Source organism: Homo sapiens, chromosome 12 (assembly GCF_000001405.40).
Source record: "Homo sapiens chromosome 12, GRCh38.p14 Primary Assembly".
NCBI classification, from domain to species: domain Eukaryota; kingdom Metazoa; phylum Chordata; class Mammalia; order Primates; family Hominidae; genus Homo; species Homo sapiens.
The window spans coordinates 94,148,483-94,163,297 of record NC_000012.12 but is presented as its reverse complement, the minus strand read 5'-3'; the positions used below and the strand labels follow the sequence as shown (position 1 = coordinate 94,163,297).

Here is a 14,815-nt window from a genome sequence, read left to right as displayed (position 1 = left end):
CAACCTCTGACTCCCGGGTTCAAGCGATTCTCCTGCCTCAGCCTCCGGAGTAGCTACAGGTGCCTGCCACCATGCCTGGCTAATTATTGTATTTTTAGTAGAGATGGGGTTTCACTATGTTGGCTAGGCTGGTCTTGAACTCCTGACCTCATGATCCGCCCACCTTAGCTTCCCAAAGTGCTGGCATTACAGGTGTGAGCCACCGCACCTGGCCCTAGGTTCTCAGAATTGAAAGAGACTCAGTCCACCAGTGCTTGTCCAGGAGGAAACAACTGGCATTCTACATGGGATGGCTCCTCATTATGGGAGCTGTCCTGTGTGATGCGGGACTTCTAGCATTCCTGACTCCTGTCCACAAAGCAGTGCCCTCTATTATGTTGACTACTGTGAAAGTCTCTCCCCAACATTTCTCAACATCCCCTAAGTAAATGTCATTATCCCCTGTTAAGAACCACTGAAATCTGTGACATGGTTTCAGAGGTGCTGACAAATGGTTATCTAGACTTTTCTTCCCTCTGGTCCTGCTACCCATCATGGTCAACAGCACCACTAATCACCCTCAACTCTTCTCTTTCTGTCACTCCCCACATCCAATACATTAAAAATCTCAGTCGAATTTCCCAATAATCTCAAATTCACCTTCTCTATCTCTACAGGCTCTATTCAGCCCAAGTGCCCATTCATTCCCCTCCCGATCTAGTGCAAGAGTCTCTTGGTGTCTCCCTTTTAACTTTCAATTTATTCTCTGTCCAGTAGCCAAAGTGATCTTTTAAAACATGAAACAGGTCCTGTTACTCCCTTGACTAAAATTCTCCAATGGCTTCCCATCACAATGCTGAGAATTGAATCCATATGCCTCCCCAGACTCTCCCTGAGCTGATCCCTGATGACGTCTTCACACCCATTCCTTGCCATTCTTCTCCTCCTGCACTCTGCTTCTGCTCCCCAAGTCCAGTCACTTTCTTTCAGACTCTGGACACATTACCATCTTTCTGCCTCAGGGCCTTTGCACTTGCTACTTCTTCTAGCCCCACCCCCCTTCACTCCCTTGTAGGCTGGCTCTTTTCAATCTGTCAGGTTTCAAGTTGAATGTCACCTACTCGTGGACACATGACCATAGCTCTTCCCGTTCCTACCTCAGTTTTTATTCTGAATCACAGCACTCCATTTATTTCCTTCAAAATACTTATTATAACTATTGTTTTTAAAAACTTACTGTCTCCCAGTAGACTCCATCTTTATAAGACTGACTATCTCCAATAGTATTGTATTCTACACTTCGAATGCAGCATCCACCTCAGCATCTGGCATGGAGTAGGTTGTCAATAAATGCTTATCAAAGGGATAAATAAATACATGGGTCAATGTTTGAATACTTTCAGTCAATATCTCATCAGGCAATTATGATACATTGATAAGTAGGCCTAATCATTACTGAGTTCTTTAATTGAGCCAAGATTCGTCCCTTGTAAATACTGGGCCTTGGTTCTGCCTTGGGGAGCAATAGAAAACCACCCCAGACCTCCCATTACCATGTAAACTGGCCTTCTCTGAATTTCACATCCATAGCTCATTGATAGCTTGTAAGAGACAATTTCTAAGTCTCTCGCCATCTCAGTCCATGAACAGTCAACAGATTCAGTGTACTTAAAATGTGCTTCTAAGAAGTAAACACAGTACTTTAGGTGTGCTCTGACCAAAGCAAATAATAATAGGATTGTCCTTTCCCATGATTCAAATGCATATTTTTAAGAACATGCCCTATCATTGTGTCCTTTCAAATAAAAGTAGCTGATGGTAGCATGGAAGAATAGAAAGAACAAGTGATTTAGAGTAAAAAATATGTGGTTTCAAGTTCAAACTCTATTACTTATGAGCTGTAAGTGTTTAGACAGTCATTTATCCTTTCTGAGCTTTCTCTACCCACCCATCCACTCATCCACCCACCCATCCACTCATCCACCTATTATTTATGGAGCACTTGCTGTTGACCAAGTACTTGATCTGTAAAATACAGATGGGAACAAACTCCCTATTGTCAAAATAAACCAGTCAAATGAGTTTTGAAATAAAATGCTAAACTTTGCATTTCATGTCATTGGTTTCTGAAACACTTGGTAACTGAAATGAATGGTTAGAGTGGGGCTCCACTGATATCCACAGTTCATGAACAGAATTCAGGGAATCCATGAAACTGGATGAAAAAAAAAAATCTTTATTCCAGGGAGCTCTAACTGGAACTTAGCATTTCCTTTAATCATGGATTCAGGCCACAGCAGTATTTACTGAACCTGTGACTTTGTCACCAAAAGAAATCAGATATTTTCATATTATTTGATAGTTGTTGCAGATATCTCAAAGTATCATTTATGCTCATCTCTACTTTGAAATTATGGTAGTTACTGCCTCTATATCTTGCTATTGAATGTGTTAAGATACATTACTATACCTTTAATTGAAAAAACATTTTGATAGATCGATATATTAATATATTACATCTATTTTGCAATCCAATGTTTTCATTTCATGCATTAAAAAACATTATTCTGTCAGGGGGTCTACAGGCTGCATTAGAGGTCTACAGCACAAGAGCTCTGCAGGGTTATGAAGAAACATATTGCTAAGTGCGGGGGCTGACACTAGGTTACACCTACAGCCACCAGCTGCTCTAGGCTATTCCCCCCTCTATTGCCTCAGAGAAGCAAGGCTTTGCACTCGGAATCCAATTTTTAAAAGGGGTCAATGATAGAGAAAGGAGCCTCAGGAGAAGACCAAGGGGCGATGATCAGGAACAGCTGGTGTGTTAGGTAACACGCTTCCTCAGTCAGGTTGCGGGGAGACAGGGGATGACAAGGAATCCTGGCTAATTGGGAAGGGAGTCAAAAGGAAATACACTTCCCTGTTGCTGCCCAGCTTTTACTTTTCCTCAAAACAGAGCCCCAGTGTCAACTCCTCTTGGACGCACTCATCTCACCATGCTATAATCACTATCTTCTCCACCAGATGAAGAGTACCTTTTTTCCAGTTCTAGAAACACTTACTGAGGGCTCACTCACCATGTGTTAGCCAACCTGATAGATGCCTGGGAAAGAAAGATGAGCCAGACCTGGCTACTCCCCTCAGTGCACATATAGCCCAAACAGGGATGTGTGGGGCCTGACACAGGGCCTGGCACACTCTAAGGTTTATAGAGTGGATCCCCAACTCCTAACTTCATTGCCAACTCCCTACTTAGCAACTCTTCCTGTCTTCCTGTATGTCCCAAGGCATCTAAAAATCAACAAAAATTAAACTCATCCTCTAATTGGTCCTCCACGTCTTAAAAACCTATTTCACTTCACCCCTCCTCTCCATCCTCATTGCTGCAACCTCAGTTCAGCTCTTCAACGTCCCTCAGTTGAATGATTGCAATAAACAAAATCCATCTGTTTCTCTCCATATTTGTCACCACTGCTCGTGGCCAAGGTGACATTATTTCTTGTCTGGACTACTGCAAGAGCCTCCTGCAGGTTTTCCTTCTTCCGCTGTGGCCAATCTCTCATCCATTCCCCACAGGGCAGCCGTTATTTAGGAATTCAAATCCAATCATTTCACTTCCCTTCAAAGGCTCTCCTGTGCTCGGAGAAGAAAATCTAATCTCCTTCCCATTGCCAAGGAGGCCTGCAGGCTGGGCCTGCTGCTTCCTTCTCCAGCCTCCTCCCCTCATACTCTCTCCTCTACCTCCCTAGCCTCAACCACACTAGCATTTTGCTCTCCACAACCACCAAGACCAGGATGTTCCATCTTTGAGTTCTTGCACATGCCCTCCAGTCTGCCAGCACTGCTCTTCCCAGATCTGCAAGGGAAACCTGCAACCGGCCTTTCTTATCTTCCTGGTGTCAATTCGGCCTCCTTAAAGAGAACTTACCCCAACACCTGCAACCCCCAAATGCCTCTGCTACATTACCTGTTTAGTGAAGTGCCTCCGTTTCTTCATCTTTAAAATGGTAGTAATAATACAGCCCATTTTGTAAAGTTGCAGTGAGGATTAGATGAGTTAATATTGGTAAAGTGCTTAGAATAATGATATACAGTAGGTGAGCTGTAAATTTTAGCTATCATCTTAATGTAAAAGTAACTATTAATTTGCCAAATGTTTATTGTCTACCCTATTTACCATGATATAAATGTCTCCACACATTGCTTGGCACATAATAGGAGCTCAAGAAAGTATTCGAACAAATGATAGTCCTTCTAATAAGGTGCTTTGCCTCCAACCTTATTGCAGCCACTTTATCTTCTGAGTAATCTTTCTAGAACACATTCAGATTGTGTCTGTTTATAATCCCGCTGTTTTACTCCATCAACCTTAGCCATGGTTTTCACACCCTGCTCTAGAAGTTCCTTGGAGATGCCTCAGGGACAGGCCCGGATGGGGTGTGGCAAGTTGTAGGGCTCCGGAAACTCCCAACCCCTGCTTCCTCCCATGTTCCCAGCGCTTGGTAATTGGTCTTACAAAAAGAACCAAGTCAATGATAATTTTTCTCAAGAGACAGGGTCGTGTTACGTTGTTCAGGCTGGATTTTAACTCCCGGGCTCAAGCGATCTCCCTGTCTCAGACTCCCAAGCAGTTGGACTACAAATATGTGCCACTACACCTGGCTAAGATTTTTATTTTTATTTTTGTAGAGATGGGGTCTTGCTACGTTGCCCAGGCTAGTCTTAAAACTCCTGGGCTCAAGTGATCCACCCGTCTTGGCCACCCAAGGTGCTGGGATTATGGGCATGCGCCATCTGCTCCCTGCCTAATGATAATTTTCTAACCTTTTTCTCATAGGGAGCTTCCGATTGATAATTTATTTTAAAGGCAAGGTTTGGAAAGTCTAGAGGACCAACCATCAGGATAAAATCCAACCACCTTTGCCCGTCTCATTAAGCCCTTCACCATCTGGACCTGCACACTCGTTTCTGGACATTCCGCAGCCTGGTGAGCTGCTTGTGGCTCCCAGGCTTACTCAACTTCCTGCTTGTGCACAAGCTGTGCCTTCTCTCTAGAACTCCCTTCTCTGCCTTCTCCACTCAGCTTCAAGATGCAGCTCAAGCATTACCTCTCTGAAGCCTCCCAGATCCTCCCAGGCTGAGAGTAGTGCCTCTTTTTGGGACTTCCACGGCAGCTTTTGGTCACGTCTCTCTTGCCATGAGCATCAGACTGTATGGGAAAGGTTTGTTTTACTCTCATTCTTTCTATAATAGCAGGAGTCAACAAACCACCACCTGTGGGCCAAATCTGGCTTGTTGCCTGTTTTTCAAACGGCCCATGAGCTAAGAATAGCTTTTGCATTTTAAAATGGTTGAAAAGAATCAAAAAAAGAATAACTCATGACAAGTGAAAATTACAGGGAATTCACATTTCGGTGTCCATAACATTTTAATGGAACACAGCCCTACCTGCTCATTTATGTATTGTCCATGGCTGTGTTCACACTACAGCAGCAGAATTGAGCAGTTGTGATAGAGACTGTATGCAGCCTGCAAAGCCGAAAATATTGATGATCTGGCCCTTTACAGAAAGAGTTTGCTGACCCCTGCATAACAGCATTGACCAGGGTGGTGGGATGGAAATAGGGCCACATCCCCCTAGTAACTTCTCTAAGGAAAGCACTATGTGTAGCTATTGAACAGACAATCCAACCAACATGAAAATCAGCTACTGAAACTGAAAAATGAATGTCACAGTTCTATTTGTTTTTGTGATCATGTAAAAATTAGCATTTCATCAAGATAGAAAATTAAAACTAAGAAAAATGATAAGCACATTTCATAAAAAACATAATAAGAAAACCTACCATTCCATGGCCCCACTTTGATGAACAGGTTAGACCCATGCTGGCCACACACTGTTCCCAAGTCGACTTTGGGGTTTCCCAGTCTTCATCATCTGTGTGCCAATGCATGTTTGGGGAAGGGAGTGGTCATCAAAAAACTTTAAGGGAGGCAGATTTGACACTACTGTATGCTACTGTAATCAAGATGTTGGTCTTGGTGTGGCTCTTCCGCCATCCTGTTCTAAGGGAATCCACCTGCAGCACCTGCTGGGGACAATTGCATGTTTGATCCTCTTCTAGTCGGACCAGGGGCCAGCACCTGCCCCAAGGGTTACAAATCCCTACACTGAACTCGGGCTCATCATCTGGTGGGAAAGATGAACTGGACTCAACTCTATCTCTCTCCTGGCAACTTGGACTAAATAATACAGAAAGTCATTGCCAGTTAGTAGCCAAAGCCGAAGGTGACAGGCTGTTAAGATGTACAGTGGGAGGCAAGTGTGCTGGCTTATGCCTATAATCTTAGCACTTCGGAAGGACTGCTTTAGCTCAGGAGATTGAGACCAGCATGGGCAACATAGCAAGACCTCATCTTTACCAAAAATAAAAATAAAAAAAATCAGCCTGGCATGGTGGTGTGTGCCTGTAGTCCCAGCTACTTGGGAAGCTGAGGTGGGAGGATCACTTGAACCCAAGAGTTTGAGGCCGCAATAAGCTATGATCATGCCACTGCACTCCAGTCTAGGTGACAGGGTGAGACTCTGTTTAAAAAAAAAAAAAAAAAAGAAAGAAAGTTTCCAGTGTCTCTCCTCCAGGAACCATATTGTTTAAGAAATGATTTTATTCCAATTAGCTGGGCGTGATAGCACCCGCCTGTGGTCCCAGCTACTCAGGAGGCTGAGGCAGGAGAATCGCTTGAATCCAGGAGGAGGTAGTTGCAGTGAGCCGAGATTGTGCCACTGCACTCTAGCCTGGGCAACAGAATGAGACCCTGTTTCAAGAAAAAAAAAAAAAAAGATAGACAGTGGGGATCAAGGCAGGCCTGAGGCATACTCAGGTGGGAGGGAGTAGATGTTTGAGGAAGCAGAGGAGGTTATTTGGTAGGAGGATGGTGCAAAGCAGCCAGGCTAAGTCATGTTAACAGGGAGACTAAGGAAGGAGCATCCATCATTTGCTGATGCTGACTGAGCTCCTTTAAGCTGCCTTGAATGTGGAACCACCTTCCAACTGCATATCAAGGAGCCCGTCCTAACACTATTAGTAGTAATGATGGTGATGATAGTAAACACAGACATAACATTTACTATGAGTTAAGTAGTTAGTAGTATTCATTCTATACTTATTAACTCGTGAATCCAGACAATAATCCTATGAAACCAAGAGGATCACTATTTATAGATAAGAAACTGAGGCACAGAAAGGTTGAATAATTTGTCTACAGTCCCACAACTGGTAACTGGTAGCTTTGGTCCCAATTGACCTGGTTCCAGTGACTGTGCACATAACCATAACACAGCATTGCTTTTATTCCTAGATTACCATGTAATTCCATGTGTTTCTGTCCACAATATCCCTCATCCCTTTATCTGACCTTACTCAAGTAGATCTTTATTCCATGCAACCAACTGTACATGACTAGGATAGAAATTGGTAACAGGACTGATGTTGTAAAGAATGGACCCTTGGAGAGAATGTCTGGTGTGCGGAATTGGTTCTGGCGTACAGCACAATAGACGACTCTAGACATCCCCCCACATCTGGGAGTGAAATACAAATAAACTGTTATATGCAAGAGTGAAGGAGCTAATTAAACTATGGCTTACAGGTTTTTGAGACTCAGACTCTAAGCCCAAAAATGGCAAGTCTTTAAAGGGCTTTCTAGGTACTGCCTTTGATCAGTGAGGAGGGAATAAGGAATATCAGGTGGTAAAATGTGTTGGTTACTTTTTATGGCCCTAAGTAAAATGCAAGGGGAAAAAAAATGCGACAAGTTCCTATCCTAGGTGCCTCAGTTGGAACACAAGGAAAATTGTTTTATCTTACAATAGTGGTTCTTAAACCTAAGCATGACTTCAAATCACGTTGAGAGCTTGCTAAAATACAGATTGCCAGTCCCACCCCAACCTCCAGAGCTTCTGATTTAGTAAGTCTGGTGTAGGGTCCAAGAATGTGCATTTCTAGCAAGTTCCCAGGTGATATTCATGCTGCTGGGCCACAGTCCACACTTTAAGGACCACTGCCTACAGCATAAAGCCCTTTCCTCTCATAGTTGAAAGGCAATCAAAAATTACACCATAGAAGTTCCAACCATGCTAGGTTTCCATGGTCAAAAGTAACTCTCAGATTGGCAACACCAGAAGCCTGGTATTCCAATGAATGGAAGTACCTGGGAAGAGGTGAAGGAGTAAAGGACACCATGTAACCTAAAACTAAGGAAGGAAGGGGCCCTGACACATCAGGCATTAAGAAAAAGACAATGATTAAGGGAGTATGAGGTGACCAGACTCCCAGAAAGTGTTGCTGCTGAGTAGAGAAAACATTTCCAACATGATTCTCTACGATCCTTCATTTATTCATTCAACAAATATTTCTGAAGTCCCAACTACATACTGGGTACTATGCTAGGTATGGGGGGTTCAACAGAGAACACCCTTTGAGATGATGTATAGATCAGAACACCAACACTGTCTAGAAGTTCACAGTTAAGAAACTACAATCCTGCCAGAGTCAGAACTTCAGGTGGTCACCAATGCAAACCTAGAAACTCAGCTCATAACTAAGGATTCTCTGCTATCCTATGCCTGTGTCCACAAAAAGCTGGTCTTAGCATAGCAGTTGCAAGGGCTTAGCTTGCTCCATACAGGTTAGGGTTGACATCAGGACCTAATGTCCATGCTGACAGACTGTCCATGGCAGTGGACATGTACACATTATTGCATGTAGTAATTATTTAACCCTTCGTGCTTTGGTTTCTTTATTTATAAGTGGGGAATCCCATTTCCTTGACAGCAATATTCTCTGGATTCATGAGTTAATGTGTATAGAATAAGCACTACTTGACCCATAGAAAATGCCGTGTGCTTTGGATGTCTTTACTATCATCACCATCATGATTATTAATAGTAATAGGGTAGGGCTCCTTAATATAGACTTGTAAGGTGGCTAAAAGCTCAGGTCGTAGAGCTGGACCACCCAGGTTCTAAATCCTCTGCTATTTTCCAGCTATGGAACCTAACAGAAGCTCTCTGGGCCTTAATTTTCTCATCTCTAATCATCATGATAACTACAGTCCTTGCCCCATATGGTGAATGAGAATCAACAGAAAATAAGGCATGTAAATTGCTTCACACAAAACCTGGCCATAATAACTATTCAGTAGATAGTAGCTATGATTGCTTTCCCCTCTTTCTAAGTGGGTGCTGTCATGGCAATTGTCCTTTTTGAATCCATTTTTGCATATAATATGTGTATATGAGGGTAAAATCACCATCTAGTCTATAGACTGCAAAATGGCTTGACAAAATCATAACAGAAGCTGGAAGAGAAATAAACATCACAAGAAGACTGCGGATTTTGAGGTCAATAGGCTGCATCGCCAAGTGGAACTGGGATGTCACTTCTCCACACATGTTCCTTGGGTTGCTCTCTGTTGGGCAGCATGTGAGCATTCTGTGGTTGTCTGCATGACAGTTAAATTATGTCAGGCTTTAGAATTATGTAGGCGTGGAAGAAGGCGGTATGTCCCCCTACAAAGGGTAGAATGAACTAGAGAACAAACTAGAATGATCTAGAGTCCTGTGGACCAATACTGCAGGAAAACGTACTACCCTCAATGTCTACCGAGGGGTGGCTGCCATGTTTAAACCACGAGTGACCCCAGAACCCAACAATGGTGGCCAAACAAGTCTGGAGCAATCAGACTCCACAAACTCGAACACAAACACTTTCTGTGTATCACGTTGGTGTGCCAGGGGTAGTGAGAGTTCAGAAAGGTAGGAAGTCAAATTGATTAACTTGTGCATAATTAAAAACATTCATTTTTATACTAATCCAAGCACAGGTGTGTTATAAAAAAGAATGAAAAAAAGGAAAGAGACCACATGAAGTTCTAAAACACAAGCCAAGATTAGAGGCATGTACTGCCTTCTGAGGTTACCCTCTAGCCTCAACCCCACATCCTAGGGGAGGTTGTTTGCTGCCAATTTAATTAGGGGACCTTCAAGGGAAAGTTCGAGAAACCCTGGGGTGGTGGGAAGAGTAGAGATGTAGACATTGGAAGACCTGGATTTAAGGTGGAGGGCTTTGGCACTTAACTATCTTGAGCAAGCTGCTTAACGGATCTTTAGCCTCCTCATCTGGAAAATGAAATCATCCCCATAGAATCAACCTCAGACTTGATGCGGGGCTCAAAAGAAATAATACATGTGGAAGTGCTGTACAAATATCACAGAAGATTATTAGAGAGAGGGTCTACAGAAATCGGTTGCCTTAGCACATTTGAGAGCTGCAGTTAACCTGCTACAGTTATGAAAGTGGATTCAAAGTTGGTGGCAAGGCAGAAAAAGTAATGGTCCAGTGTGTAAACAGCTGAGTACACACTCATTACACAAGCATCTCGTAAATCACTGCTTAGCAGAAGCTGAAGGAGAGGAGGATCAGTGACAAGAGATAAGAGAACCAGAAAGTGGGAAAATACAACCCAGTCAGTCCTGTCACTTTTCTACCTATGGCTGATTGAAGACGGAAAATAAGAGCCAGCTAGGAGGAGAGGGAGAAAGAAGGCAAGCAAATCCAGCCGCTTGTGCCTTGCAGCCTGTGGATTACTGTTAAAATTACTGTGTCTGCTCTAAAGGAATTGCTGTTGGAATCTATTGAGGTTCCCTCTAGAGTGTTTCAAGTCCTGCTCCTGTTTTAGGCACCTATAATTCAGCATGCCTTTTCAAAAACACATTCAAGACCTGAAAATAAAATGCAGAACAAATGCAATCAAATGACATCATTCTTCTGAGTGACAGCCAGGGGCACACTGATCCCATGACCCCATTACACAAGGTTGCAATCTGCTATCGTCCTTTCAGTGGCAAAATCAGTGGCACCCAGCACAGAGCATTGCTTACACTAGCAGGCATCAAACAAATATTTGTTGAATTGAGTATCTTCTCTACCTATTTAATAGGTTAGAAAATTGTCAGCTTTTTCATCAAAACTACCACCCTTTTTCATTCAAACTCCTCTTGAAATTCAATTCCATTAAGGCTTTTCAATGCATACTAGCAGCAAGGAATTTACTTAAATGAAAAAAAAATGCAAAGCTCCAAGCTCCCACCTGTGCAGCCATGACATGCTATTGTTTGAACCAGAGTATATTATTTAACTTGGCTGACAAGCTCAGGGGGTACAGACCCTGTCTTTCAGAACACACAGCTCTGAGCACACTGGGAGTTCTTGATAAATAGCAGCAAGAAATGCTGTGGAGGGACCCATTTTAATTATTTATTTTTCCAGTTCCAGATTTTTGGCAGCATGTGTTTATCCTTTGCTTGATTTCCAAGGGGCAGCTCTCTCGCAGAAGCTCCGCGACTTCCTCTGCCACTGCCCCTCCCCATCCCGGCACAAGCAGGAACACCTGATTGAGCCAAAACGTGGATTTTGAGTGCATTCAAGATGCTGGCTGGGTTTGGAAGGGAACTGAGTCTTCCAGGACCCAATAGGTAGAGAGACGCAGTCAAGAGAAATGTTTTGGCTCCACACATCGACACAGCTGTCAGATGGCAAAGCTTGGACTTTCACCCTCATTACCTGCTGTGGGCCTCTGAGCTGGCTTGTCATTAACCCCAGAGACTAAGTGTGTCTAAAGCTTGACACAAAGTAATATTTCGGGGGTACTTTCAAGTCTTTCAACAGAGAAGTAGGAAACGATAATTTTACCAAACTTAAACCGTTAGATTATAAAGATCTAATAAAGACAGGAATCAAATATTACATTATATGTGTACGGCAACAGCAAGTCATTTAGGAGGCAAATATGTGTTTTTACATATTTTTAAAAATTATACCAGTAACAAAATGAAGGCCTTAATGTGTGTGTCCCAGCACACAGCTTGACAGGCAAAGAAGCAGCAGCAAGTGACCGTTCTAAGAAGCCTTGCAAAAGACCTCCTGGTTTTTTTCTCCCTGGCTCATAGGGCTAATATTTGGTAAGATGTGCTTTGCAGAGAAAGAAGGGGGTGGGGGAAGCTGTCTTTCTATACACATATTAATATACCTGGGAGCCAACGTGCCCCTGTATCAACACATTTTCCAAGCAGTGACTTCTCCCCTTCCTCTCTGATTCATTTTGTACCAAAACAATGGCAACACCTGTAGCCGTTAATTTCTGCGCTTTGATTTTTGTCCAGTTATAAAGGAGGCTCCCAGCAGGCTCCCCTCTCAGGAGCCATATGTGGAGTTGATGTGCCAGCCGCCTTGGAAGGGAAACGGCCTCCGGAGAAGTGCACAATGGCTCCATAATCCCCATCAACTGGACCCTCTTGAACTGCCTCTTTATTTTCCAGTCAAAGAAATGCCAATCTCAAGATAAAAGCTGTGGCTGCCCTGGGAGCCCAGGGGAAACCTGTATCGCTTGCCTGGTTCAGCCCCAGGGTGGTGACTCTGAGTCCCGCCATCTAGTCTCGCAATCTGGAGCCCAGAAACTGCCTGTAGCACCCCCAACACTTTCCCTTGCACTCCCCTCTAGGATGAGGCTTTTACCACAAGGCCACCTCCCGCCCAGCCTCTCCCGGCGGCTGGCGACCACAGCGCACCCTGAGCAGAGCCACGGCACCGCCCCCTCGCACCGGCTCACGCCAGGGGTTCGGTTCCAGCGCAAGCCTCTGTTGCAGGCTGGCATTTCTCCACGCTGAGCGGGCTAGCAACTCTTCAGACCACAGCACTTGCGTTGCCGGTGGGGGGCGGAGACAGGGGGCCACAAAGGCTGGGGTGTGGCAGGGAGCCCTTTAGGTTCAATGGCTTCTCTGCCGAGGGCACTGTGTTGCTAACTGTTGACCAAGAGGGTCAGACCCACACGCCTGCTGGGACTACACGGAAGGGGCACAGAGAAGTCTGGAGAAGCGAATGGGAAAGAGGGGCTGCGCGAGGAGACTCAGCCCCAAACAAGCGTCCCCGTTTGGACAGGGAAGGATGGCAATGGGATGCAGCCACTAGAGTTTTGAGTCTAACTCCAACCCTCCCCGCCCCCCTTTTTACACTCTCCCTTTGGGGACCTCAGGCCGTGCTCCAGGTCTCGGGGACCGTCCGAGAGGAGCCTTCGGACGGCCGCCCGCGGTGTGAACCTGAGACCTGGTAAATGTCACCCGGCTGTACCCCCGCCCCGCCGCTCGCCCCCAGCTCGTTCTGCCTCGGCGGCGGCGGCGGCTCCCCGGCAGCAGCGCTCTCCGCGGCGCCCCGGGGGCAGGACTTACGCAGTGGCTCTCGGCCGTCTTGAAGTCCCAGCTGACCCTCTTGGCGCGCGCCTGGATCTCACTCATTCTGAAGAGGCAGAGCGCCGTGGTGGTGGGGGAGCGCCGCTCCTGGCCCTCTCCAGCGGCCGCGCTGAACACTCCCGCCCAGACGTCCAGGGCCTCCACTAGGCTGGAGGAGAGGAGCAGGCGGCGGCCGTCGGGGTGGCCGTGGCCGCAGTCGAGGGATGCCTGGCCCTGGAACAGCACCTCGGTGCTCTGCGCGATGCGCGCCATGCTGGGCCAGCCGGTGGCAGCGCCGCTCGTGTAGTTGTAGGGGTAGTAGGGGAAGTAGATGCTGCCGTTCCAGAGAAAGGCGTCCACGAAGTGCAGGCTGCCCGCGCCCTCGCACAGCTTGAGGCGCCCCAGCTCCTGCGTGGCCAGGCTGCGCCCCTCCGTGTCCTTGAGCGCGATGGCCGTGTCGTGGTCGGATGCCGCGGGGTTGCAGCGGCTCGCCGTCTCCGGCTCAGGCAGCACGTAGGTGGCGGCCACCGCCAGGTACCAGCGGTTGTTCCGGCCCGCGCGGTACACCACGCCGGCCGTCGAGCCCTGCGGGTGGCACGACACCACCTCGGTGCCGTTGCGCAGGGAGTTGCGGCTCAGGTTGCCCAGGGGCCGCACCTCGCAGGCGCCCCGGTCGAAGGTCCAGCCGGTGAGCAGCAGCCCCCCGAGGCCGGCCGCCCCCTCGCGGTAGGGCAGCAGCAGCTTGCTGAAGCTGCTCCCGGGCCGGGGCCGCGCGGGGGGCGCCAGCGAGACCGGCTCTGTGCAGTTGCCCGCTTGGTCCCGGTACAGGCGCGAGAGGCTGTGCTCCAGGCTGTAGTCCAGCTGGTCCAGGCAGCTGCCGCTCGCCACAAACACGCCGTCCTCCTGGCTCGCCGCGATGGCTCCGATGGCTTGCTCCGACCGCCACACGGGCTCGTCCGCGCCCCGGCCGGGAGCCGCCAGTGCCAGCAGATAGGCGAGCAGGGGCAGTGGCGCTGCGGGGCGCGGGGGGCGCGGCGGCGCCTTCCTCCGGGAGACCTCCATGGGGCTGGGGGGGCCGCCCCCGGGCAGGGCGCGCGGCGGCGACGGCGGCTCAGGCGCGCGGCAACGGAGACGCGGGCGGCGGCGGCGGCGGTTCCTGCGCGCGCTCGGGCTCCCGCGGCCGCCCCATCCCCGCAGCTCGCCCAGGAAGGAGAGCGGGGAGGGCGGCGCGCGGCAGGCTCGCTCCGGCAGCCTGTGCAGCGGCGGTGGCGGCAGCAAGCCCTGCGCGCTCCGGCACCGTTTCCTCCTCGCCCTCCTTCGCCGGAGAGTTCCTGTGTGCAGCGCTGGCGCTCGCGGGGAGGCGCGGAGGGGAAGGGAGGGGACGGGCGGAGAGGAGCGAGGCGGGCGGGGAGGGCTGGAGAGGTTGGGTGCGCTTGTGCGTTTCACTTTCCCATTGTGAAAGTGGGATGCAACTGGCCCCCTTCCTCATCCTCTCTTCCTCCTCCGCCCTCCGCCTCCTGCCCGCCCGCCCGCCCTCCCTCCACGCCCATC

The 14,815-nt window shown here is 47.7% G+C and overlaps 1 protein-coding gene across 5 annotated transcripts in view, besides 7 other annotated features; it reads right to left on the bottom strand.

The window, feature by feature from the left end:
• PLXNC1 (plexin C1) overlaps positions 1-14,721 on the bottom strand; it is a 159,099-nt gene extending 144,378 nt beyond the window's left edge. For all 5 annotated transcript variants that reach the window (NM_005761.3, XM_006719186.5, XM_047428050.1 and 2 more), the window contains exon 1: positions 13,265-14,721. In NM_005761.3, coding sequence (NP_005752.1) covers positions 13,265-14,326 — 1,062 coding nt within the window. In that variant the 5' untranslated portion in view covers positions 14,327-14,721. The remainder of the gene's footprint in view (positions 1-13,264) is intronic.
• Positions 12,195-12,254: an enhancer, noted in NCBI's record as "active region_6778". NCBI's record gives its function as "activates an Ori minimal core promoter by ATAC-STARR-seq in GM12878 lymphoblastoid cells {active_cell/tissue: GM12878}" and the evidence as "EXISTENCE:reporter gene assay evidence [ECO:0000049][PMID:35858748]".
• Positions 12,455-12,614: a silencer, noted in NCBI's record as "silent region_4725". NCBI's record gives its function as "represses an Ori minimal core promoter by ATAC-STARR-seq in GM12878 lymphoblastoid cells {active_cell/tissue: GM12878}" and the evidence as "EXISTENCE:reporter gene assay evidence [ECO:0000049][PMID:35858748]".
• Positions 13,095-13,234: a silencer, noted in NCBI's record as "silent region_4724". NCBI's record gives its function as "represses an Ori minimal core promoter by ATAC-STARR-seq in GM12878 lymphoblastoid cells {active_cell/tissue: GM12878}" and the evidence as "EXISTENCE:reporter gene assay evidence [ECO:0000049][PMID:35858748]".
• Positions 13,595-13,694: an enhancer, noted in NCBI's record as "active region_6777". NCBI's record gives its function as "activates an Ori minimal core promoter by ATAC-STARR-seq in GM12878 lymphoblastoid cells {active_cell/tissue: GM12878}" and the evidence as "EXISTENCE:reporter gene assay evidence [ECO:0000049][PMID:35858748]".
• Positions 13,895-14,134: a silencer, noted in NCBI's record as "silent region_4723". NCBI's record gives its function as "represses an Ori minimal core promoter by ATAC-STARR-seq in GM12878 lymphoblastoid cells {active_cell/tissue: GM12878}" and the evidence as "EXISTENCE:reporter gene assay evidence [ECO:0000049][PMID:35858748]".
• Positions 14,265-14,494: a silencer, noted in NCBI's record as "silent region_4722". NCBI's record gives its function as "represses an Ori minimal core promoter by ATAC-STARR-seq in GM12878 lymphoblastoid cells {active_cell/tissue: GM12878}" and the evidence as "EXISTENCE:reporter gene assay evidence [ECO:0000049][PMID:35858748]".
• Positions 14,565-14,814: a silencer, noted in NCBI's record as "silent region_4721". NCBI's record gives its function as "represses an Ori minimal core promoter by ATAC-STARR-seq in GM12878 lymphoblastoid cells {active_cell/tissue: GM12878}" and the evidence as "EXISTENCE:reporter gene assay evidence [ECO:0000049][PMID:35858748]".